The sequence below is a fragment of the Homo sapiens genome, chromosome 4, assembly GCF_000001405.40.
Source record: "Homo sapiens chromosome 4, GRCh38.p14 Primary Assembly".
NCBI classification, from domain to species: Eukaryota; Metazoa; Chordata; class Mammalia; order Primates; family Hominidae; genus Homo; species Homo sapiens.
Window position 1 is genome coordinate 185769180 of NC_000004.12, and position 26121 is coordinate 185795300.

At 40.7% G+C, this 26121-nt stretch overlaps 1 protein-coding gene across 36 annotated transcripts in view, besides 1 other annotated feature; it reads right to left on the reverse strand.

Moving 5' to 3' along the window:
- The window catches only part of SORBS2 (sorbin and SH3 domain containing 2), a 370850-nt gene that overhangs the window by 183657 nt on the left and 161072 nt on the right, over window positions 1-26121 (reverse strand). For 30 of the 36 annotated variants that reach the window (NM_001394267.1, NM_001394264.1, NM_021069.6 and 27 more), the window contains one exon: window positions 6048-6187. The exons of 1 other annotated variant lie outside the window; for it this stretch is intronic. The gene's annotated coding sequence lies outside the window, so the exon portion shown is untranslated. Of the gene's footprint in view, window positions 1-6047; window positions 6188-6522; window positions 6676-26121 lie in introns of those variants that run through there. 5 more of the 36 variants (NM_001394255.1, NM_001394270.1, NM_001394247.1 and 2 more) reach the window with 2 other exon arrangements.
- Window positions 6136-6430: a silencer, noted in NCBI's record as "tiled region #123; K562 Repressive non-DNase unmatched - State 21:Repr". NCBI's record gives its function as "represses a minimal TATA promoter and a strong SV40 promoter by Sharpr-MPRA in K562 cells {active_cell/tissue: K562}" and the evidence as "EXISTENCE:reporter gene assay evidence [ECO:0000049][PMID:27701403]".

Below are 26121 nucleotides of genomic sequence, written 5' to 3' on the forward strand. Positions count from 1 at the left end.
ATATTTGCATATCCATCCTGCGTCATCTTGGGGACAGGACCCAGATCCAAATGTGAAATTCGCTTATGTTATATGTAGTGTATCCAAATAGCCTGAAGGTAATTTTATACAGCGTTTTTAATAATTTTGTGCATAAAATGAAGTTTGTGTACACTGAACCGTCAGAAAGCAAAGGCATCAATATCTCAGCCACCCACATGGAAAATCTGGTGTTGTTTGGCATCACCATCATTCCTGACTGAATTTATTTGCTACCAATAAGCAATCATTTTCCTGCTCTTACTCAGACGTGAGTACTTAACAGTAGAAAATACTACTATTTTTGTTTTTGAAAGAGTCTTGCTCTTGTTGCCCAGGCTGGAGTGCAATGACACCATCTCGGCTCACGGCAACCTGTGCCTCCCGGGTTCAAGCAATTCTCCTGCCTCAGCCTCCTGAGTAGCTGGGATTACAGGCATGCACCACCATGCCCGGCTAATTTTGTATTTTTAATAGAGATGGGGTTTCTCCATGTTGGTCAGGCTAGTCTCGAACTCCCGACCTCAGGTGATCCACCCGCCTTGGCCTCCGAAAGTGCTGGGATTGTAGGCGTGAGCCACTGTGCCCAGCCTAATACTACTATTTTTTAAACAGTAAAGATACATCCTATTAATACAGTGAAAAATAATGTGTTTAGGTAACTGGGCAGCACAGGAAAAAGACCGTTTTCCTTTCTCAGCTGTTAGACAACAGCAGCAACAAACAATGCAGGCTTTCAGTTGCCACCTATGATGCTGTGTTTGGAGTAAAGGGCACTGTACACTGTATTTTTTTTCTTTTTTAGGTGATAAGAAACATCTGAAGCAGTTGACAGATCATGAAGCGGGTCCTCTGAGAAATGAGAGGCATTCTGCCGGATGGCATTTTTTTTTTTTTTTGAGACGAAGTCTCACCCTGTCACCCAGGCTAGAGTGCAGTGGCACGATCTCGGCTCACTGCAACCTCCGCCTCCCAGTTTCAAGTGATTCTCCTGCCTCAGCCTCCCGAGTAGGATGGCTTTTAAAATGTTTTCTCCAGCGTCATCTGCCTCATTAACAGCGATTTTTGTCTTAGAAGTCTCTCTTTGAGTTTCTAAATGGACATGACTGCTTATTCTGTTAGGAATGCACTCCACTCTAGTCCTTCAATTAGCCCATCACATTGTCACTGTGGCATCTGTATGCACATTTTCTGCCGTGTTAATGTCATCTTCATTGTCCAATTGTGGCATCATGTTGGTGCTCAAAACGTTGCAGATTTTGGAACATTTTGGATTTCGGACTTTTAGAGTAGAGATGCTCAGGCTCTACTACTTCTTATTTCAGAGAAAAACATAATATCCAAATAACTAATAAAAACTTGGTTGGAGAATGCAGACTTCTAGAAATGACTGTTTAATCTGCTTATGATAAATAATCCTCTTTGCTCTACTGCAAAGGGGAGACTACTGCTGTTACTGTTTTGTGTCATCATGTCCTGATCAGACAAACACTGATTTAAAAAAAAAATAAAACAAGTACATTGTATATGTAAATTTAGACTGTAATAATATATCCTTGAGAAATAAATATTATATGGACTCCATTTTTCTCTGACAGTCAATTAAGCACAAAAAGATTTTTAAAGCACTGATTTTTGCATTCTTAAATGACAAATGAAGTCTTCTTGAAATAAGATTTTTAATGATTTAGAGAAATATTTGCACATACACTAGCTTGGTGTTGATTCTCAATTTTTAATTTTTTTTTAATCCTTTCCCTGGCATTTTCATCGTTTCCTTTTTTTTTTTTTTTTTTTTTTGAGACAGAGTTTCACTCTTGTTGCCCAGGCTGGAGTGCAATGGTGGGATCTTGGCTCACTGCACCCTCCGCCTCCCAGGTTCAAGCTATTCTCCCACTTCAGCCTCCCAAGTAGCTGGGATTATAGGTGTGCACCACCATGCCTGGCTAATTTTGCATTTTTTTTTTTTTTTTAGTAGAGATGGGGTTTCACCATTTTGGTCAGGCTGGTCTTGAACTCCTGATCTCAAGTGATCCACCTGCCTCGGCCTCCCAACGTGCTGGGGTTATAGGCGTGAGCCACCACGCCAAGCCTATCCTTCCCCTTTTTCTGTTTTGTTATGGATGATGAATGTCTTAAAACTACTGAACTCCTTATACCTTGATATGGTTAGTGAGAGCTTCCTTGTGGGATGGTTCTGAATGATTTTCTCTAGAACCTCCATTTGAACATCTTCCTTTCCTCTGCTCACTGTACCAGTCTGGGGCTATCAAATCACATATGCTGATAAATGCTACACTATGACTGGTGAAGCCAGTGCTAAAAAGCAGCTTCTACATATGGCACTTCCAAATTGTGTTATTGCTAGCTTTTCCAGTGCTTTCTCTACTAGGGCATCCACTGCATGTCACCTGCTAAAATGCAAACCACATCTTTAATGAAAGTCTGTTTTATTGAATATATAAGTGACTATGAAATTTCAAAATGAAATTTGATGGCAATTTAATTTTATAATAAATCTATATCTATGTATCTCACCAAAGATAGCCTAAATCTTTAGTGAGGCCACACATTCATTTTTATGAAAATTCTTCACATGAGTTTAGAAATCTCCCAACTAAGAAAAGGACAAGTCAGATCTTAGTGTCCTGGGTGGCTTAGCATTTCATAACTGCCAGAGAACCATGAGGACCTTCCTGGGACTGACTCATGGGAGTTATCTGCAATGATTTTATGTTTCCCAATGGGTCATATTTTCATTGGAGATTATTTACTATGCCTGGAATCCTAATGCTTGGTGTCTCTAATGAGAAAAATAATACAAAAAAATTCAATATTCAGCCAACACAAATTTATATGATCTACAAAAGAAAGGAATGTTTTCAGATCCTGGGCTTGATTATTTTTGTTTTCGATGTGACAGATTTGCTGAACAAAGCTTACAAATCTCCCTTTTCCTCTCTGCTCGCTACTACCCCGACCCAGAAAACACACACACACCCCTTCCCAACCGGGGACCATCTGACCGTTCACACCCACATCAACTCTGGGTCGCCATGCTTTTCTGAGGGACATTGCCTTCACTGAGAGCTCCTTTATTCTCAGTATACCTTACATTCCCAGCCACAGTACTGAACTTCTCAATGCTTGCAATGTTCCCTTGGAGTATATCAGTTGAGCAGGCGGAAAAAAAATATCTGGAAGTTTATTATTTTTCCACCAATATATTTGACACCACCTTTGGAGAGGGAACAAAAGGCATACTGTCAAGCGGATAGACCTGGACAAAATGTTACTGTTTGTTCCTCACGAGCACAGAGGTATATTTAAGCAAAGAAAGGCATTCCACGGCTCTCCCGGGACTTCCTTCCTTCAGCTGAATTATACCAACATGTTCACACCACTGAGGGCCAGGCTGCTGGAATTTAAAACGCAGACCTCTATCTGCCAGTGCTTCGATCCCACGGCTACAAACATTCACATTAGGATTGAACCTGGCTTTCAAACATCATGAGATAAATGGGAGTTTACTGGGGGAAAACGTGTGCCCTCATGAAACTATAGTAGAAGATGCGGAAATAGGACTGTCCCTGTTCAGCAGATTCTATACTAATACAATAAAGCCTCAAAGTCACCAGAAGTCACCTGGCCTTGGGTTATGTTTCAAATCCAGGCTCACTGACATTCATGAAACCTTTGGCAACACAGGCCAAGTTTCGTGCAAGGCTGGGTAGAATACTTCTTTCATGTGGAAGCTGGGTGAAACTCGGTGGCTTTGGCTAGCTTTCACCTGAAGTTTCACATTCAAACAATCCAAAGTTTCAACGTAAAATTCAGGGGTGAAGAGAAACAGAAAGAAAAAAAAAACAAAACAAAACAGGGGGAAAATGGCTTGCCTGGGAATGGAATGATCACCTACCATTCTCCAAAAAGATTTCATCCTGGTGCCATTTAATTTTGCCGCTGGACTATCACCTCTAGCAATATATTTGCACTCAGCCCTGCAGACCAAGGCTTCCCAGTACTAAGGGAGAGTGAGTATTCTAGCTAGACGCACCCCATCCCCCCAACAAAGCCCAGGCTCAAAATAACGGGAGGATTTAAAATGGTAACCATACACATAAATGCGATGATTGACATGCTTCTTATAATGTAGATTTGAAGGGGAAAAGTGGCAATGAAATGCCCAGGTTTGGGAAACTTAAAGATTAGACTGAACATCTCTAGGTTTTTCTACTATAAATCCAAGTTCTGGAGATTCGATTGCATCTGCTCCTAATCCAGGGAGATCTCTGCCGTAGCTTTCTCCACAGCTCCGCCCCTTTGGAGATTTGTCCTGTGGCCACTTGCGTTTGTCCTTCTTAGCAAGGTGCAGAGGACGGGGCAGACTGCGTCAGCGCTGAGGAGCTAGCGTCCTTGACTGGGACTTAAACAGTCTCCTGACAGGATTAGGCTCATTCTACTCCTAACCTTCAACAGAACACGCAGGGACCGTTTGCCAGGGAACGTCAAACTCTGTATTTGGCTGAGGACTGTGAAAATACCTTGTGCTTGGGGTGGGAAAGAAGAAGGGAACAAATGTCACACACACCTGTGCTTTCTTCACAATGAAGAGAATATTCCAAAGCTGATTGAATGGCTAGTAAGTGCTACATTTTGCCCATTTTAGGAAATACATTTTTAAGAAATCCCTTATCCCTTACACAGCAGAAGTTTCACTCGTAAAACAGACTTCTGGCTACTAAGGTTTTTTTTTTTTTTCCAGTTTTCTTTTGATTCTAATTTTCTTTTTCTTTGTTATTTCTTCCCGTTTTTGTTACTCAGACGATCCTTATGTGGTTAAAATGCATGCTTTCCTTTGATATGTGCTCTGTGATACCAATAAACTTTTCTGAAAAAAAAGTATTTCTGAACTCCAAAGATTTCAGCATCCATGTTTTTAAAAAGCACCAGTTGGGCCCCAAGGCACACGGAGATTCTGAGGCAGCAGGGCAGCCAGCGCGGGGCTCTGTGCACTCTCATTTGCTGCTTGCTCTTACACATCTGCCAGACAGGGGCCATGAACTGTCCTGAAGTCTGTGTTGGGGAGAACTTTACCAGAGAACACTTTTCTTACAATTGGGGGTCCCTCTAGAAGTGAAATCTAAGACAGATCAGTGAGGAAAACTAAAGCTCCAATAAATTGTTTAAAGGAAATGCTATGAAAGCATTAAACCAAAAGGAAAAAAAAGGAGACTTTTTACTGAGCATAGTAAATAGCCACAATCAAAGTAAATGCTGTGTTTGAAGTTAAAGTCCACAGATCAAAGTACTTCGCAAAATGTCAAGTGCAAGCGTAACGAGGGGGAGAGGGGAGCCACAGAAACTGACCCGAAGTATCACATTGTCACGTTAGAGAAACCTGCCAGCAGATGTACCCAGCAAAAGACAGTCAGCTTAGTAAGGAATCCTCAACACTGTCCCCTAAAATGTGCTAGGAACATACAAAACAACAATAACAAAAACAAAACCCCCAGATTCCCCCAAATCAACCACTCTAATTCCACACGAGCAATGAACGAAACAGTGATGAAAGGAGAACATTATACAATACGGCTCGCTCATTGCCCTTAAAGAACAATTACTTATATATATTATCTTTACTCAGGTGGATGGTTGCATCTTTTTCCTCTTTTTTTTTTTTTAATGCCCCTGGAAAGTTAAAAATAAAGCAGTCTAAACAACAAAAATATGATGTCTGAAACATCCTCTCATTGCTCTGGCAATCAGGCTTAATTAGACCTCTGATCCATGGCTTAGTCATAGTCAAGCGTGTACTGCAGGTCACTATTATGAGAGCTTTAAGCAAAGTTTAAAACTTACAGCCACAAAAATGCCCAGATGCTCCTGCTGTATTCTGGAACACCGTGTTTACCTGAAAATTGTTCACAACTCCCCTTATTATTTTCACTATAAGTAAGTTATTTTAAAGACATTAGTTATGAACATACCAGAAAACAATTAAATAATTCCAGAATAAAAAATCTTACCTACAGGCAGCTGAGTTCAACAGTTGCTCTATACAGAGGAAGTAGGAGTCAGTGGCCTTTTACATGTAGAGATTGTTTATTTAGCCCTTTTTAAAAGGTCTTGAACTCCAGAGGTTTAAGATTAAGTCCAATCCAAGTGTCTGAAGGAAAAAAAGCAAGAGAGAGGCAAATGAGAGAGGGAAAGAATCCCAGCTGCTGGGTGGTGCTACTGTTCTGAGAGCATTTGAGCTATTTTCAGCATTAACAGCAGCCGGGGTTGTCTGCAAAGGGATGAAAATGCCTTGCCCAGATCGCCACCCCCCACTCCAGGGGGGAGAAAACACCAACCAGGAAACCCACAACGACTTGGTTCATTGTGCAAATATTCATTTAAATTTTGAGGAAAACTGCCAGCACCATTGAAAACAAAACAAACCCAAAGTTGACTGGAATCTTAAAGAAACACAGTGCTCCTCAAGTTTTCAAAATGAATTACCTGATTCACTGAAAACGAGATGTCCTACTTATGCTTTATTGAGAAGGAGGCTTTTCTTCTGATATTTCCTAGGGGGTCTTAAGAAATAGTTGAGAGCCCTCTGGTAGCAGTATCTGTTGTCAGTCTATTCTTAAGACTGAAGACAAATGATTTCTTAAAAGAGCCCGCACCTAAATTTCCAGTTTCATCAACTATGCTATTTTTGAAAGCTACTGGGTTAAGCGTTGACATCTCTTATCTATTGGCAGAGACTGGGGACCATTCAGTGACATGAGGCAGACAAACAGTGACCCCTGCTTCTGCCTCCACAGGCCAATGAAGAAATCATTCTGGTTGGGTCACTGGCAATGACTGACAAACTTTGAGCCTTCATTTTGTTTCTAGAAATAAAAATTAAGAAGTCGTATTCATTCATTCATTCAGCAAATATTTATTTGGTGAGCACTTCAGAGCTTACTATAAGCCAAGCACTCTGGGAATACAGTGGTGGGCAGAATGAAGTGTCCTTGCCTTCAGGGGTTTAGAGCACACAGATGCAGTGAGAATAAATAAAAACAGAATTTTTAAATATTTTCCAGACTTTTTCACATGATGAGACTATTCACATCATGGCAGCTGAAGACTGAGATCTCTTTCTATTGTGGATGAAGGAAGATACTGTGTGTCATCAGACCAACTTCAGGCTTCCATTGAGTCATTGTGCCTTTACACCACCACCAGGGAGGAAAATTACTTACTTTCTACCAAGGAAGCAGTTAAGTATGTTTATGAACGCTTTCATTCCAATAGATGAAATCCCTGGTTTTTTTCAACCCCCTACTCCCCATTACAAAAAGAATGCTTAAGTAGTCAGAAAGTACTGCTGAGAGGCTTTCCATCGGGAGATGAAAAGAGAGTCTTCAACCTGAATTCAGTATAAAAAACTGCCGGTGGCTCAGGCCCGTAATCCAGCACTTTGGGAGGCTGAGGCAGGTGGATCATGAGGTCAGGAGATCTAGACCATCCTGGCTAACATGGTGAAACCCCATCTCTAAAAAAAATGCAAAAAATTAGCAGGATGTCGTGGCACGCGCCTGTAGTCCCAGCTACTTGGGAGGCTGAGGCAGGAGAATCGCTTGAAGCCGGGAGGTGGAGGTTGCGGTGAGCTGAGATCGCACCAGTGCACTCCAGCCTGGGCAACAGAGTGAGACTCCATCTCAAAAAAAAAAAAAAAAAATGCCCTGATATATTTTATAATTAATGTGAGGGTTGGTTGCTAGATGCTTATATCAAATTCAAATTCAATTCTTTCTTTGCCATTAAAGAAAGACACTGAAATAGATTATGGAAAATACTGAGGATTATGCCATGTGAAAAAAAAGGGTTACATGACTACTACTTCAAGTACTATTTAAAAACAGTGAAATCCTTTGGCTCAATAGACCTTATATTAAAACTGTATTTCAAATTAAAAAATTATAAATTAACTTTGAAATCTCTAATCTGAATTTTATAAATAAGATCAACTTTGTTTTAAAAATGTATACCAGGCTTTAAAAAATGACTCTAGAATAAAGCATTTTTCTTTTCACTTATTTTAAATGGTTACATTTTACTATGTCTTAAATACCTGCCAATCTAACATGGGATATTTGTTTCTCTTGGCCTCAATGTGGAATGGTAATTCTACTGGTAATAATTGGAAGCCTAGCTGCAGACAGACACATTTTTTAATTGTTTTTTTCTTTTTCCTCCTTATAATAGTTTATACCAAAAAAGGGTATAATGCATTTAAATATTGGCTTTCCTTGAGAAGCTATGGCATTAAGGAAACAAAGATCAACATAACCCACTCTCGTATAAAACAGGGATAATAATGAGTTGTCATAGGGCTCATAGGAATAATGCACAGAAAATGCTTACCTGGGTAATGTCTGACACACAGCAAGCATTTGGTGAAAGTCAGTACCATCATCTCTGCTGTAAGTGTAAAGCTTTGCTCTCCAAATATGGTGGCTACATGTGGCTACTGAGCTCAATGCGGCTAGTCAGAACTGAGATGTCATATAAGTGTAAAATGCATGCTAGATTTTGAGGTCTTTATACAAAAAAAAAAGGTGAATGATGAGAAATTACTCAGTGGGTACGATGTTCATTATTCAGGTGATGGACACATTCATTAAATCCGTGACTTTACCACTATGCAGTCCATCCATGTAACAAAATTCTCCTTGTACCCCACAAATTTGTACAAATAAAAATAGATTAATGTTGTCTCTTCCTAAAACATGTAAACTATCATATCATTTTTATATTGACCACACGTTGAAAAAAGAATGTAAATTATGACATTAATTTTTATATTATGTGTTGAAATGACAGTATTTTGGACATAGTATGTTAAATAGGATATTTTGCTAAAATTAATTTCACTTGTTTCTTTTTTACTTTTTCAAATCTGACTGCTAGCTAATTTAAAATTACCTATGTGACTTGCATTCTATTTCTACTGGGCAGTGCCATGCAGGCCAACGGTTCTCAAAAGGTAGTGAGCATCAATGACCCAGAAGCTTCGTAAAAACAGATTGCTGGGTCCACCCCAGAGCGTCTGATTCAGTAGGTCTGGCGGGGCCTGAAATTCTGCATCCCTAACAAATTCCCGGGTGATTCTTGACCTCACTTTGAAAACCGCTGGTCTTGGGCCTTGCTTCTTAAAAAAGTAGTCCACGGACCAACATTAACGTCATCACTTAGGATCTTGTTAGAAACGCAAAACCTCAGGCCCCACCCAGACCTACTGAGCCAGCATGTGCATTTTCACAACATCCCCAGGCTGCGTGTAAACATGTTGAAACTTGAGAGAAATGATATGAAGTAGTGTCTGTCATCCCTGGGTGAATATAAGGTAAACTTTTACAAACACCAGTACCCCGGCCCCGCCCCTAGAGAGTCAGATTTAATGACTCTGGATGTGACTCGAGCATCTGCATACGTGAACAGCTGATTCCAGATTAAAGCAAGCACTGAGTCCCATCAGACTGGATGTGGAAAGGCCAGGATCTAGATCATTTGTACATCATTAAGGCATAGTTGACACAGATCAAACCATATTAGAGGGTATTTACATCCCAAAAGAGGATCTTGTTAACCCCAATAACTCTACAATTGTTAGAACTGGTGAGAAAGACCCATATTTTGGAGTAGAGAGGCCTTCTGTTATTCGCTCCACCTCTGTTCCGGCCTTAAATAAACGAGCACGCCAACTTTAAGAGTGTGTCTGAATAACCTCATTAGTTTGCCGAATGACTTCTCACATTTTCAGGCGGCACCTGAGCGTTGTGTGTTTCACAGAGCTTGGTAAAAATAAAATCCTCACTGTAAGAGAGAATCTGGGCTCACGCTGGTAACATTTAAAACTTCCAATTCTATATGCAAAGACCATCTGCAGCTTTGCTTCTCACTTTCTTGGTTGAACCTTTCAGAAAACTTTTAAAAGTGCATAATACTTAAGAGTAGAGTCTGGAGTCAGGGTGCCTGGGTTCGAATCCTCATCCTGCCACTTACGCGTGGCTGTGGCTGTAGGTCACTTACTTAGCCTCCCCATACCTCGGTTTCCTCCTCTGTAATGAGACCTTTTTTTATTGGGTTGTTGTGAGGGTGAAAATTGTTATTTGAAACAGCCATGGAAAAATCTGCTGCTTTGTAAATTTTATATGAATGTTGGTTAAATAATCAAAATATATTTGAAAAACTGTGCAGATTTCCATATGTGGCTAAATTTAGTAATTTTTAAAAGATACTGTGGTGATTTCCAAGGACTTTCATGGGCGTGAGTTTTTGAACACATATATTTAGAGGGTTTCTCTGAGTGTTGTTTTACATTTTTTTCCCAAGACAGCACAGAATTCTCAATTGATTCCTCATCGCTTCCTATTATTTGAGAGGATCCCAGTAGGAAGGAAGTAAATGTAGTTTTCCCATGAGTATTGTTTTCTAGAGAACATTCTTTACCCCTGCAGTCCTTTGAAGAGTGAGTTGTGCTATAGATGTTTAGAGACCTCCCTGGTCCCTGTCATTCTAGTGGCATTGTCTAGTATCCCAGGAGAACAATGTGTCATTCTCTTAGTCAAATATTTTAGTGCTTAGGGCGAGGCAGCAAGACCATCTGAAACACTGGCGTGAGTTTCAAAGACATATTGAAACAGCAGTCAGATTCTCCTATAGAAATCAGCTAATGCTGACTAAAAGAAGGGATGGGGATGAACAGGGAAGTGCTGAAGTCACGCACATTGTAAGCAAAATGAAGGCTAGACTAAGTAGAGTAACATTTTTTTTTTTTTTTTTTTTTTTTTGAGACGGAGTTTTGCTCTTGTTGCCCAGGCTGGAGTGCAATAGCACAATCTCGGCTCACCGCAACCTCTACCTCCCAGGTTCAAGTAATTCTCCTGCCTCAGCCTCCCGAATAGCTGGGATTACAGGCATGCATCACCACACCCGGTTAATTTTGTGTTTTTAGTAGAGATGGGGTTTTTCCATGTTGGTCAGGCTGGTCTCAAGCTCCTGACCTCAGGTGATCCACGCACCTCAGCCTCCCAAAGTGCTGGGATTACAGGCGTGAGCCACTGCACCTGGCCTGGAGTAACACCTTTTATGCTTGTCTGCTTCAACCACACTCAATGAAGTGAAGCATATGCAAGAAAAATAAGGATACCTGGTAGCTCTGGGCACGTAGCAAGCATCCGTCGGGTCATCTACAGGAACCTCACCCATGGTATGCCACCTGCTGAACAATGTAATGCATGCATCGGGCTGGAAACTAAAGCCCATACATTGAGTGACTTTAGACCAGTCATGCAAGCTCCCTACACTTGTGTCCTGAAAGGCAGATAGAGGCATGGGACTGCAACTGCCTTACTGACTCTTAAACCTATGCTTTCTCTTGGGCTTATCTGGATTACATTCGGCAGTCTGCCATGATTTACGCCTTTTTGCAGCACTGTTTGAAAGGAGTCAAATCATACGTCCAATGACTTCTACTGCCTGGTTATTGATGTTAAGTAAATACTTTTTAGTAGGCGATTTGTCATCACATGTGTCATTTTGCCATCTGGGTTGAGGTTTATCAAGTGAGGTGAAAATCTTAACAAAAGGTTAAAGGACCAGTATCATTGAAAGAGATTATATAGAAATAACTTCTTAAAACCTCTGTTAGAAGCTCAATTTTCTAGTTGAAACTTTGTTTCATTTATTTATTTTTATTTATTCATTTATTTTTGAGATGGAGTTTCACTCTGTCACCCAGGCTGGAGTGCAATGGGGTGATCTCGGCTCACTGCAACCTCCACCTCCTGGGTTCAAGCGATTCTCCTGCCTCAGCCTCCCAAGTAACTGGGATTACAGACATGCGCCACCACACCTGGCTAATTTTTGTATTTTTAGTAGAGACGGGTTTCACCATGTTGGTCAGGTTGGTCTCGAACTCCTAACCTCAGGTGATCCTCCTGCCTCAGCCTCCCAAAGTGCTGAAATTACAGGCATGAGCCACGGCGCCCAGCCTGAAACTTTGTTTTAAACTGGCTGCCTGAATTCTTTGTGTATTTAAAGAGCACCTCTGCTGTTTATGTAACCATGACTTAGCTTTTCTTGTTATTTCTATTCCATTTGAAATTGAGCATATGCAACAGTCGCTAAATCTGCTATGAAAATTGTGAAGCCTTCTCCATGTGGCCCACTGAAGGCCCTGCACGATCTGGTGTTCTGCAGCATTTCTGCCCAGATCTCCACCACCTTCCTCCCAGTGCCATTGCCTCCAGCCTCTCTAGCCTCCCTTCCATTGCCTCCCGCCTCTCCAGCCTCCCTTCCATTGCCTCCAGCCTCTCCAGCCTCCCTTCCATTGCCTCTGGCCCCTCCAGCCTCCCTTCCCTTGCCTCCGGCCCCTCCAGCCTCCCTTCCATTGCCTCCGGCCTCTCCAGCGTCCCTTCCATTGCCTCCGGCCTCTCCAGCCTCCCTTCCATTGCCTCCGGCCTCTCCAGCCTCCCTTCCATTCCTGGACTGTGCCTCATCCAGGGCCCTGGCTTGCCTGGCTCAATGTGATGGGAATGCCTTCCCTGCCCAGTGGCGAATGCCATGCAGCCTCCAGCTTTCACGTGTCTCTTCCTCAGGAAGGACTTCCCTGCTCCACCAGCGTAGCCCCGCCACCCCCTTTTTTTAACTCGTAAAGAATCACCTTCCTCATTCCTTCTAAATTCAGGTTCAGTTGCTTGAATTTGTTGGAGTAATTGATCGGAGCCCCTCTCCTCCACTAGCCTATCAGCTCCCGCTTGCCCCTCACATGACTTACATTCCTCCCGCAGGTACTGCATTCTGCCTGGCCCTAAGTAGGGGCCAATACGTAGTTGCTGAATAAGTAAATGATTAAATAAGTTCTGCCGAAGGCATTAAGCAACACAAGAGTACATTTTTTGGTTCTATATTTATCAGAACTTGTGAAATAAAAAGTATCTGATCATGTAAAAAGCAAAACATTATGTATTCTAATTAAGCAGCTGTTTCCAACCAAGACGATTCTCTGAAACATTGCTTTGTAGCTACATATTTGGTTTAGAAGCTGTCTTAAGAGGCAGGTGCCACTTGCTTTTCCCTTCAGGATATAATATGTTCTGTTATCTTAATTTGCATTTATTCTAAAATAGATTTCAATAAAACAAGTTACTTGCATTCATATATCATATTCCTAGACCTTTTTCACAACCATGTGATACTCTACTAGGGTAGAGTGAGGTCCCTGATAAACATTTCTTCTGATTAGGGTTATTGAGAGAATTATGTATTTGTCTATATATTGCCTGGCAGTTATACCACCTGAAACCATATGTGATTATTTATAATGTAGTTTTATGAGCAGACAGGCAGATATAAAGTAACACATCAACCATGCCACCTGGTCAGGCCATAGTCATTCCAATGGTATGAAACTCTTTCTTGTGGCCATATTATGCATAAGTTATAAACAGACAATGAATGGTCACTGACTGAGAAGACTGGAGATTTGCAATCTTATTTTCTGGCAAATAGCCAAGTCATGTCAACAGGAGAGATAAGGAGAGTTTTGTGTGTCATACACTGTAGAGCAGGGGTCAAAGCCTGGGATAGGAGAGGGCTTGGTCTTCACTGCATTTATTTGAAAGGAGCTATGGAAACTTTTCTTCTACCACTTGGGCACAGGAAGGCTTGCTATGGCCCAACAATGTTTTAAAATGTATTCTTTACACATGTGTAAAACACTCTGAAATCATCAAGATACAGCATGAAACGTATCTTTTCTGAGACATTAAAAAACTGAATAAATTAATCCAACAAGCCATGGCACAATTCCATAATTACTATGACCACAGAAGTTAATTTAGCAGGGATAGTACATAATACACACCGTGCTAGGAAAGTGTCCTTGAAACTCATGACGGTGAAGGACGAATTAAGCCCAATGAAGGACAGTTGACCAGCATTCAAGAGGTAGAAGGAACTATAGATTCCTTATATCAAGTACATGAGAAAAACTTCCTAAATGAATGAGGCTGGAAACACAAACCCTCAGAGACTGGACATAGGAATATTTTCTGCGTTGTCTGTCTTCTAAGCAGACTCTCTCTCTACTTCTACTTCTGTGTTAGCAACGACTACAGTGCTGCAGTAATATAGATCTCCTCAGTTCTCAGGTGGCCAAGTGAGGCCTTGGGAAGCTAAAGTTCCTGGACTGGCCACCTCTGGCTGTTAGCAACCTCATTGGTTTACCTCTGTGCCTGCAAATATTCTTGATTTTATGTATAGTATATTATAGAGAAGTCTGGAAGGGAATGCTTTAACCAGCAAAGTCAATCCATTAAACAAAAAGGTATGGGAGAGACACGTTAAGAGATCAGTAACCATGTTGTAGTTTAAAAAAAAAATGCGAAGTCTTTGTTCAGACCCTCGGGGTAAGCAGAAGTAGACTGGTCTCCAGTGGCAGGCATGAGAGGGAATATCCTGCCCGCAGTGATGGACATTTTGGTTTCAGGCAGAGAGGCAGGAAGCTGCCCTCTGAATCAGAGTAAATGCTCACATTTTGACCTTCTAGCAAGGGCCCTCTTTTTCTTGGCAAGAATTCCTTCGAGGATCATTTTCAGTTTGAGGTTCTGTCTGATGTTTTATTTTACAATTAAGTCACTATTCCCATATTCATTACTCTGTAAAATAAGTCAAGTAGGTAAGAGGTGTGGTAGACACTTCCTTCTGCCTCCTGAGGATCCATTTTGCAGCCTTCCTCACTACAGAATCCTGACAGTACGGCCAGTTAACAACTGACCTGCCTGGATTCCTTGCAGTTTCTGACCAATAAGCTAAAGGCAAGGCATCCTGTTGAAAATTTCATATGCACAGTAACGACACTAACCTCCCGAGAAGAGGGCTTCCTTGTCCTTTTCTTTCTTTTTTGAGACGGAGTCTGGATCTGTCGCCCAGGCTAGAGTGCAGTGACGGGATCTCAGCTCACTGCAAGCTCTGCCTCCCGGGTTCACACCATTCTCCTGCCTCAGCCTCCCGAGTAGCTGGGACTACAGGCACCTGCCACCACTCCCGGCTAATTTTTTGTATTTTAGTAGAGACGGCATTTCACTATGTTGGCCAGGATGGTCTCGATCTCCTGACCTCGTGATCCGCCCACCTCGGCCTCCCAAAGTGCTGGGATTACAAGCGTGAGCCACCGCGCCAGGCTGTCCTTTTCTTTCTAACCTTGTTCTGCTCCTCTTTTTGTAGACTGAAATGCAGATGTCATTCTGTGGGGGTGCATGCTAACAGAGAGATGATACAGCGATGGAGAGAGGATAGAGAGGAACCTACTCTGGGCTACCTGTCCGTGGGATTTCTTGTTATTTGAGGCAAACCCAACCTGGTGAAATGACTGTATTGAGGTCATCTGTTCCATGAAAGCTAGAAACAGAAACAAAACAATCATCTAAAAACAACCTTCCTTACATTAGACCGGCTGAACGACAGCAATAAACTATTAGGCCTGCCATTAAGATATTAGTTAAAAAATACTTCCAGAAGTTTTGAAAGAACTTCTGGGCATCAACAACGAATGCTTACAACAGTTGTGGCATTAAGTCTCCGGCCCATTATCATTTCCTAATGGAGCAAAATCTGCCATGAAAAATGAGCCGACATGCCTAACGCCCCGGGAGCTGCATCATTTGAATATTTTTGACTCTAAATATAGTGAAGTAGTTGGCTCTTTTTTCTAAAACTACAATTTACTGATCAGTGATATCAAGAGAAATAAGAACACAGCAGTGATCAACAGGAAACACAAAACAGGAACGCATTGTTTATTCTGTTCTCGGTGGACACTGCCAGATCATTGTTCAGAGAGCTTTCAACAGGGTTGCTTCGATGGAGTTTAGGGAGTTTTTAAATCTAAATTGAAGATGAAATGTGTCCTCGGGACAGAAAAAGCAATTTTGAAAAGGTTATTCAAGGCCATAAGGTATTGACTTTGAGCGTTTAAAAAAAAAAACAAAAAACCTGTAAGAATCTTACTGTGGTTTCTTAAAATGGTGAATGCTGTCAGTCATAATGGAGGGGAAGGTAGGTTTGATTAGGCGGCCGGTGAATTTTCAGAGTTAAACAAAGTTAAAAATACACAGGCAACATGAAAATTGTTCTAAGCGTTCCTGTGTCATGGTTTCTGATTAAGTATCATGAATGGAAGAAATGAATATAAATCATAACGATTCCGTTTTATAACAGACAGTCTCGTGTAAATATTTTGTCTTTCTAGTCACATGTGCCAAGAGCTGTGTGAGAGTGTAATGATGGAGAGCGTGGTCTGTACTTACCCGCCACCATCAAACCCAACTCTATTACTGCCAGCTTCTGTGGCTGCTACAATCTTCTTGGGCTTCAGTTCTCTTACCCACCAAATAGGCACTGTGTGGCCCTTGACTCATAATTGTTGTGAGGCTTAAATGAGTTAACACATGCAAAGCTCTTAAACAACAGCAACTCACAGGAGGCCCTCCCCACGTGTTGGCTGAGGCTGTTTCCATCATCATCTTAAGAGCATGGGCTTGGAGAATCAAGAGTTCTGAGTTAAGTTTCTGGTACTTCCTCGAATTAGCTCCCTGGTTTGGGCATAATCGTTGAGCCTCATTTTCCTCATCTGAGCAATGGGAATATCGTTCATTACCTTAAAGCATTAAGAAGAGGGGTGAAGAATATAATGCTGGAAAACCACACCTGGCACACTGGAATCATTAGATACCATTTTGTTTACATTACACGGAAAAAAATTATTTGCAAATTGATCTTCAAAAATATAGAGACTTTTACTTTGCTGTTGGGGAAAATGAAATGGATTGGGCACACCTAGATATTGAATTTAATTTCCTTATCATTTATTTCAGATAGCTCACATTCAAAGTTTTATGTTTTGGGTTTTTTTTTCTATTTTAATTTTAAACAAGAATACATGGGACTGTCAAACAACTGGATTAAGAAAATCCCCATATCTGAGCTAATCACTTTGTCCTATGATTGACATAACAGTCTCCTTCGAGCAACAGCATTACCACTGCTTCATTTAGTAAGTAGAGAAGGCTAAAGAGGAAAGGTAGTGGCGTTAAAAGAAATGACCTGGAAGAAATAGAGAAGAATGGACTTTGTAAGGCCCTGTGAGAGTCTATCATTCCTCTAGCAGGGGGAGGAGCAGAGTTATAATCCTATCTACCTTGTTACAAACAAATACACACTAACTTAACATTGATTGACTATGGTTATAATGAATGGTAATTGAAGAAGTATCCCTCTATCACAGCAGTGATTACATTCCAAGGAAAGAACTGAGGGTTTGGAACCAGGCACAGCTGATCTCAAGGCGTGGCTTCTCCCATGGCAAGCCATGTCACTTTAGGAGAGTTACTTAATCTCCCTGAGCCTGGATTTCCTTATCTATAAATAGCAGACAGGCTGGGCATCGTGGCTCACGCCTGTAATCCCAGCATTTTGGGAGGCCGGGGCGAGCAAATCACTTGAGGTCAGGAGTTCAAGACCAGCCTGGCCAACATGGTGACACCCTGTCTCTACTAAAAATACAAAAACTAGCCGTGTGTGGTGGTGTGTACCTGTAATCCCAGCTACTTGGGAGGCTGAGGCAGGAGAATTTGCTTGAACTCGGGAGGTGGAGTTTGCAGTGAGCTGAGATCATGCCACTGCACTCCAATCTGGATGTTCATCCATTTTTTTTTTTTTTTTTGAGGCTCTGTCTCAAAAAAAAAAAAAAATAGCAGACAACCCCATCTACCTCTCTGGGAGGTTTCTGAGAGGATTAAATGAGACTTTGCATGAATATTGGCTACTCCATCAAGTGGTTGCAGAGGAGGGGTTCAGTAGGCTGTTGTTGCTGTTTACCTCTTTTTCCTACTACACTGCAGGCTCCTTGAGGATAGGATTCCTTTAAAAACAAAATACAACCAGTTCCCAGCACAGTGGCTGGTCGCTAGAATGTACTGAGTGAATATACACCAAATAAAGCAAGACAGGGATACTTTGAATGGAAAGATCAAACAACAGCAATAATGAATAGCAGGCTTGACTTGTTTAAGTGAAAATGGTTAAGAGAGACTGGCGTGGACAAACTGAACTGATGCATTGGGGAACAGATTAAGTAAAAAGTACGTAAAAGACAACATCTTCTTCACACACATATTTAGAAGGGAAAGATAAGCCGTAAGGGACAGAGAAACTGTTATACGACCCGAGGGGATTATAAATAGCATCCTTAAATGGGGCTATTTCTATATAGCCTCTCTATTTTTTACTTTGTAGAAAGATTGAATGACTTTGACCTATGATTTCTGAGAGCTCTGTCTGATTTCTTTTTTAATTTACAAAAGTTTTTATATAAAATTCAGGTCTTCTCATTTCTCTCTGAGCCTCCCTCCTCCCATCTGTCTCCACCCTATCCTAAGTGCCTCCACTTTGGGTACTCTTGGGTTTTATGGCTAAATCCAGCAACGCAGATTGTGGGCGGGCAGGTTTCCCGTATTGTTCCTACCGCCCATTTCTCTACAGCATTTCTTAAATAGGGCCTAGTCTGGAGACTTTCAGGACGAGTGTTATAGTTCTCACTTTTCATTTAACCTTGAATCATAGCTGGAAAGCACATTACGAAACCTAGGTAATCATCCCCTACACATTTTGAAAATTTGGGAGCAGAAGATGATTTTACAGGTAAAGCCATGACCAGCGCCAGGGTCTAAGAAACATTGTTGCGGCGAATGGGCAGGTGACATCACATGGCGCAGGCAGCATGTTCCAGATCCAGATCTGAGATGGGAGAGGGCTTTCCACGGGGCCTGCCGGGCTGTTCCGTGAGCACCAGGGCTGCTCCAGCGCCAGCTGCTGCTTTGTTCTGCCTGGGAGCAGCTTTGTCGGAGACTTGCTACTCAAACCCCTCATGAACTAAATGAGCTGTTAATGCTGTTCGCAATCGTAGACTCATTGAAGTGTCAGGTGGTAGCATCAATGGAGCAACAGAAAGAGGTTTTCATAGAGAAAGAAAAGAGATACCGACAGAGAAAATGGGGTTTGCAATAATTTCAGTAAGAATGGATTCAGCGGGGGAAAGAAATTAATAGGCTATATCCTAAAAAGAAAAACAAATAAAATTTGGTGCTTCAAAGTTTCAAATTAGGCACATTTCAGTTGAGTCATAGCCAGACACTCAAGTACGGCAGTGTGATCTCAGAATCAGTCAACTATCAAAGGAGAATAGCACCATTTAAGATAATTAGAAAAATGACTTCAGAAATGAGATAATCTCAGAGAGGAATTATTCGTACAAGGCTCGCTGGTGAAACTTCTGAAAAAGAGAACCTTGCAGCTGAGTTCACTTTATAGCATTATATTAGGGTATACTTATTTGGTGAATTTTATAATTATACCCTGTAATGAATCTTACCTGCAAAGACAGAGAAAGACTCAATTCAAGCCACCCTTCTATTTGCATATATAACGTTGGGTAAGAGAAGAAGGAATTGGAAAGCTCTTCACCAACGGTGCCCATCACTGTGGCCAAACGTGGGTTCTAAATTGCAGAGCCTCCACCATTCTGCAACTTGAACTCTGTTTTCGTGTTACAGATTAAGATCTATCCACTTGGCCTATTTTAAAAACAGTTGCACACATTTGAACACACCTTCGAGACTCCAAATTGGACTTCTGTACCACCTTCTATTTTCGGTAACCACAAGGGTGCTGGAAATTCAAGTACTAACAAACGCCACGACCTACAAACTTAAGAACATGAGCTGGAGAATACATGATTCCTGGGCCGCAGAACACACCTGCGCTCTGGACTCCAATTATTCTTTGGGGCGTTTGACTTACAGATCAAGGACCAGGTCAGGTCATCTTTGTTTGGGATGTTTATACTCTTTTTTGTGAAGTCTTCAACATTGCATTGCTCTTTTTCTTAACACTCAAAAGTCAGCTTAAGATCCAGTGTTAAAGCTTATTTTTGTGTTTCTTTGAGATTAATATGATATTTCCATTTTCCATGAGAAATGAGACTGCCTTCCTTCTACTCTTAAGCAGTCCTGTAGAGAACTCCTAATACTCATTCATCTCCACTCACCTTATCCAGATTCGAATTAGCTACAAAGGTACTCAGGGATTCTATGCAATAATTATTCAAAATAAAGTCATAACAATTTTATTATTTAGCAAAGTATAATTTATGAAATAAATCATATTTATAAGTATAATTAATATATAATTGTGTATTAGATAATAGAGTAATTGCTTATCAAATATGGAATATATTTATATATAATCAAGAAATTAAATATAATTTCTTATAATGTTTAAATATAAATTATTAAATATAATTTTAGCAAATAAAGTCATAATTTCATTCTATAGTCTCCTCTATTTTTATGTTTAAATGGATACATTGGTGTCCTCAGAATATACCATTTTTTTACAACAGAATCATTCAAGAGAGACATTATAACTTTTTAATTCTCTTGATTTTTAATGCAATATTTCATTAAACTCCTTTTAAGCATTAGAAGTTTTTGAAAATGTGCCAGGTGAGGTATTGTTAGGTAATTTTGCTGCTATTCTTGCTTCTTGACCATTTTCTCACTGTTTTAGTGCATTTGGAAATGAGTTTGACCCTAAGTTTCTTCCTACCTATATAAATACTTAGAAACTCTTGTACTGTTTCCAAATCAACTGGAGCAGTGCCTCCATGGGCTACATTTGCCGTTATCTGTTTCACTGAGAAACAATATATCTACTGTAGTTAAAAAGTTCATGAATGGTCCTTGCTAATTTCTAGGCTGTTGAAACATGTCTCTAATTTCACAGATTTTGAGGAGGCAAGAGATCTGGAGTTTTATTTCTTTTTTTTTTTAATAGCATAGTGTTGGATTTATTCAGGATATGAGAAGACAGTCATCTGCGCACAACACATTTGCTATGAAAAAAAATTGTTAAACTACACTTATCTCCACTCACTGCTTCAGTGGTTATGTTAACTTTGTCCTGAGAGTAGCTAGCATTGGGGTAAGATGTAAAACACAAAAATAATGATGTATTATTCGATCAGTCTATTAACCCATACTGATTAGTGGCCACACTCAAAAAGACATATTGTAGCGAAAACATTCCCAATTCTCACTCACATGATAACCACCCTGGCTCTACAAGTACAATACGTGTATCTTTGCCACTTATCTGTTGAATGTGTACTAATAGCTTCCTCCAATGAATAAGGACTCTAAACTTCAGGGATCATTACAAGGTACCTGAGGAGCTGGGCGACTCTACAGTTGGAATTATTTTCACATTAAAAGAGCCAAGAAATCTATGAACTCATATTTTACTCAATTTATTTGTGCAGCCATATATAAATAGATGGTCTATTCATGTAAAAGAAACTATTATTTCAATTCTAAGAATGTTAACTTCATTATTCATAAACTAGTCCATTGGTCTGATAAGAAAGCATCTCTCATCTCACAGACAAATACTCTAAAATATGTTTATCACTAAACAACTGGCTTTATTTAGGGAACAATTCAAGATTCCCTGATCACATTTTCTGAAATGATCCAATTTTGTCACTCAGCATTGACTCTGTACCACAGAAATTGCATTCCTGTTCCACATTGTGTCAATGGAAAGGAAGGCTGATTTTGGTACTTAGCTATGAATATTCCATACTCTCTGTTCTCTGAAAAATGTGAACATTGAGTAGAAAATCATGAGTATGGGGGAAAAATAATAAAATATATGAATGTGCTTTTAAGAGCATGGCAATGTAGTGAGGCTTATTAAAATGCCACTTTTCATAAACAATTTAAAAAGTTTCTCTAAGTACTAATTTGGGAAAGTATGCTAATTTTCAATACTTAAAACCTACATCTGTTTAAATTAGAATGAGCACATTTTTGCCACATGTCACATTTTATTACCATGCAATGGTAAGTATAAATTTACCACCTACATAAGAACAAAATATGGGCAATACATTTATGAATACATTAAATGTTTAAGAAAAAGCTTTTCTGCACTTCATATGATCTTGTTTTGTTTGTACAGACTCATGTTTGTGAGCTGGGCAAGTTAGCTTCAGATATAAGGTATACATAGACCTTGGGTGTGGAAGGTCCAGGAGGGCCATGACTTCTGTTTTATTCATATAGCACAGTGCCTGCCCCATAGAAAAAACCTAGCTCACAGTGGAGAAAAGTGAATGATGGAATAATGGACGTACAAAGCCAGCCAAGGTGAGGCTGTACAGTGTTTATCATAAACAGTGGATGTTCTGAAGATGACCTCTTGACTTGTTTTTTATTTTTCTTACTCTAAGTGCCTCGGGTGAACTCTTTCACCTAGCATGTTAGGACTAATCTGCAACGTGGAATTTATTATAAAAGTGAGTGCTCATACTTGATATTTGTCACACTAGATACTCTTAAAAATGTGAAAAAAATAAGATTGTTTTTCCCCCACAAGTACATGCCGTCAGAGTAACCATTTTCTTCTTTAGATCAGAGTGCTAATAGTCAACAAAGGGAAATTGTTCAACATGTACAGAGCCCCAAGACTCTGGATTCCTTTTAAACTCCATGTGAACTGTATTTGGTTCCAAAGTAGAGCTAATCATTCTTAATCCAGGGGTAAAACCACCACTGCCAGTAAACAGACAGGCCCCCTGGCATTGAAGATCAAGTTGGTGATGATCAGTTTTCTAATGGGACAGCTTCTAAATAATGTCCCAATTTAAAATTGATGCAAATTTTGATAATGGAAATTGACAAAATGTTTATATTCAGAGGGTTAAAAATTTGTTTTCTATTGCTTAGTCTTGTGGCATCCTAGTTAGATGTCTAAACATGATTGGTGCTACCTAAATTTCCTTTGGCCCCATTCTAGATACATCTCCTTATTTTGAAATTTTCATAACGTTAAGTAGATTTAGAAAATATGGGACGGCGTGGTGGCTTACGCCTATAATCCCAGCACTCGGGAGGCCAAGATGGGAGGATCACCTGAGGTCAAGAGTTTGAAACCAGCCTGGCCAATATGGTGAAACCCCGTCTCTACTAAAAATACAAAAATTAGCTGGGTGTGGTGGCAGGTGCCTGTAATCTCAGCTCCTCAGGAGGTTGAGGCAGGAGAATTGCTTGAACCCAGGAGGCAGAGGCTGCAGTTAGCTGAGATCATGCCACTGCACTCCGACCTGGGCGACAGGGTGCGACTCCATCGAAAAGAAAAGAAAAGAAAAGAAAGAAGAGAGAGAGAGGGAGGGAGGGAAGGAAGGAAGGAAGGAAGGGGAGGAGGGAAGGAAGGAAGGAAAGAAAATATGAACAAGCAAAGAGAAGAAAATAAATCTTCAGAAAAAAAATTGTTGACATCCTAGACTGTTTTTTTTCTTCCTCCCTCTTTTTATTGTCGTGCTATTTCTGATCTTGAGGATACGGAAATTTGGTGTTCACTTATAAATAACGGTTTCCATAGAGCCCATGAGCAAAAAATACAGAGAGAATGATAAAATGAGAAATGTAACATTTTCTTTTGGCTGATCTGTAGTTCCCACAAATGGGCAGTCTAGAAAACTGTTGACAGTGCAGGGTTTGGAATGTGGCCGACTCAAGCTGGAATCCCACTTTCCCCACATGTGTGACCCTGTGCAAGTTGTTTAACTTCTCTGCGCCTGTTTCCTCTTCTGTAAAATGAGAATAATGTACTCATCAGAGCGTTTGTGTGAATAGTCAATGAGAGGTATTTAAAGAATTTGGCACGCTGCCTGACACACTGTGCATTGAATGAATGGTGGCCATTATTATTATTTATAAGAATACTTACTGTTATTTTACTTTCTTAACTAACCCTGCAGATCGCAAAGCTCCAATACCATGTGATGTGAAGACTCATTTTAGATCAGCCCAAGAAAAACACCATTAAGCAGGTAAATCCAAATTCTGTTGGGAAAAGATCATATGATGCATTCTCAAGCAAGTGCTTCAGGATTGTGGCACTGCAGTCTCTACTAGCCTAGGCAGTGGCAGGATGGCTGTTCTTTGGGAATAAGGTCTTTAGAAAACAGTGAGCTCCCACATTCTATCCTGTCATCATTTTTGCCGTGAATACTCCACATAATTTATCTCCAGATGATTAGTTTGCCTTAGTGCAATGTAATTAATTGGGACCAGAAGATACAAGAGTGTGTTTGTTATACTCTAATGAAGTTTCTTTGAGTTTTAAGTTGGACTTCAACAGTTAAAGAACAACATGATCACGGAAAGTCAAATGGATTGTATATTAAGAAGATTTTTATTTATTTATCTATTATGGAAATTTATTTTTATTCTGTGTATTTTTTTATTTTTGACCCAGTTGAGCCTTGTTTGGTCAATACCTCTGGGAGATCTTGACAAAACAAAGCGTGTCTGGGCCAAAGATTTCCTTTCCATCTCTGGGGATTTTTTTTATTGATGATGAAGTTATTATGGACTGAGAGCCAGTTATGTGCCAGGCCCTGTGAGGTATCCTTTGCACAAATTACTTCATATAAGAGAACGACTGGTCCTATGATCTATGCACAGCATCCTTCTTTTACAGAGACCAAGCCTGTGGTTGAAAGATATGGAGTCACATGGCAGCGGCCACACCTCCTCGAAAGCTAAATCCATGACTGGGCCTTGGTCCCCGCAGGCTCCTGCCTGGCCTGCCCCTTCCTGTCCTGCAAAATTGGAAGGACATTGGTGCAGAATTGGAGGAGCCCTGCCTTTGACAAGGCACATACAAAGGGAAAGTCTGTCAAAAAGCATTTGTTTTACTTTCTTTTTTAAAAGAAAAAAAAATACTGTTATTTACTGACTTTTAAAACTAAGTGACCAAACATTGGTGACATAAAATTGTTTCTTAAGTATAACAAATGTCACTTCAAATTGTTTTTTGGATTTTAAAAATAACCAGGTAAAGAAATGACGTTAGGGTGGGGAGAGAGGGCAGCAGAAAGAGAGTGGAGAGATGGAGAAGGAGGAGGAGGGAGGAAATCCAGGCAGTGGGTGGGGCACGGCCCCACTGATGAGTGTCTGAGCCATGGGCGCTTGGTGCTATTCAGGGAGGCAAGGTCCTATGTTCATAAATAATGTACTACAGGGACAGTTTGAAAGTGATCATTAAATTTACATTTTTAAGGCAGGGGAGTTGCAGTCACAGCCACAAATATAAAAATCTAAATAAGGTGTCTTCAAGCATTGTCCTGGGACAAGAACTGCAGATACATGGCCCAGCCTCAACTCTCTAGATATCCTGCTGATCTCAGGGAATTCAGATGGTGTTTCCTGGGTCCAGTTCTCCCCCGCCACCCCTCTGAGGAAGCCCAATCTAAAGCATCCATGTTGGATGCTTTTACCATGACAAGGTGTGGAGAAAGAGGAATTTCTATAAGTAGAATGATAATGAGGAGCTGCCAGATTTCTAGCAGGCTGGGGACTCGGTGGTTCCCCTTGACATGATGCTTCTGGGCATGACTGAGGTCCTGGGTGTGTGACTGAGGGTCAGGGTGATGGTGTCTGAGCATGATTGAAGTCCTGCCTATGTGAGGAATGTGGGAAGGATATAACAGGACTGGTGCACCCAGACCTCTGGCCTGGGGAGAAGCTGCTTTCACCTCCAGCCAGGAAGAGTGGCTCCCAGCAGCAATACCCCACAGTAACTCAAAGTCATTAATCATCTCACTAAGTAAACTGTGTTTGATTCACAGTAGGCAAGAGTGTTCACAGATGATGCCTAAAAACACAAGTAGTGTGTATAGGCGGGCTTCATGAGCTTGCAAACTGAGCATGTGCACCTGACCCTGTGCTTAGAACGGCCAGGTGTTCTGTTTGATACCCTGCTGTCATCATCTATAACTTATTCATCATACTTTTGGAATTGCCTTTTCATCTTGCGCTGGGCCCTGCAAATTTATATAGCAGATTCTTGTTGGGTAAATTTCAACAGAGATAAACAAAGTTTCCAAAGTTTCTGAGACTCCAATCTCACATCCTACACCCTCAAAAATAG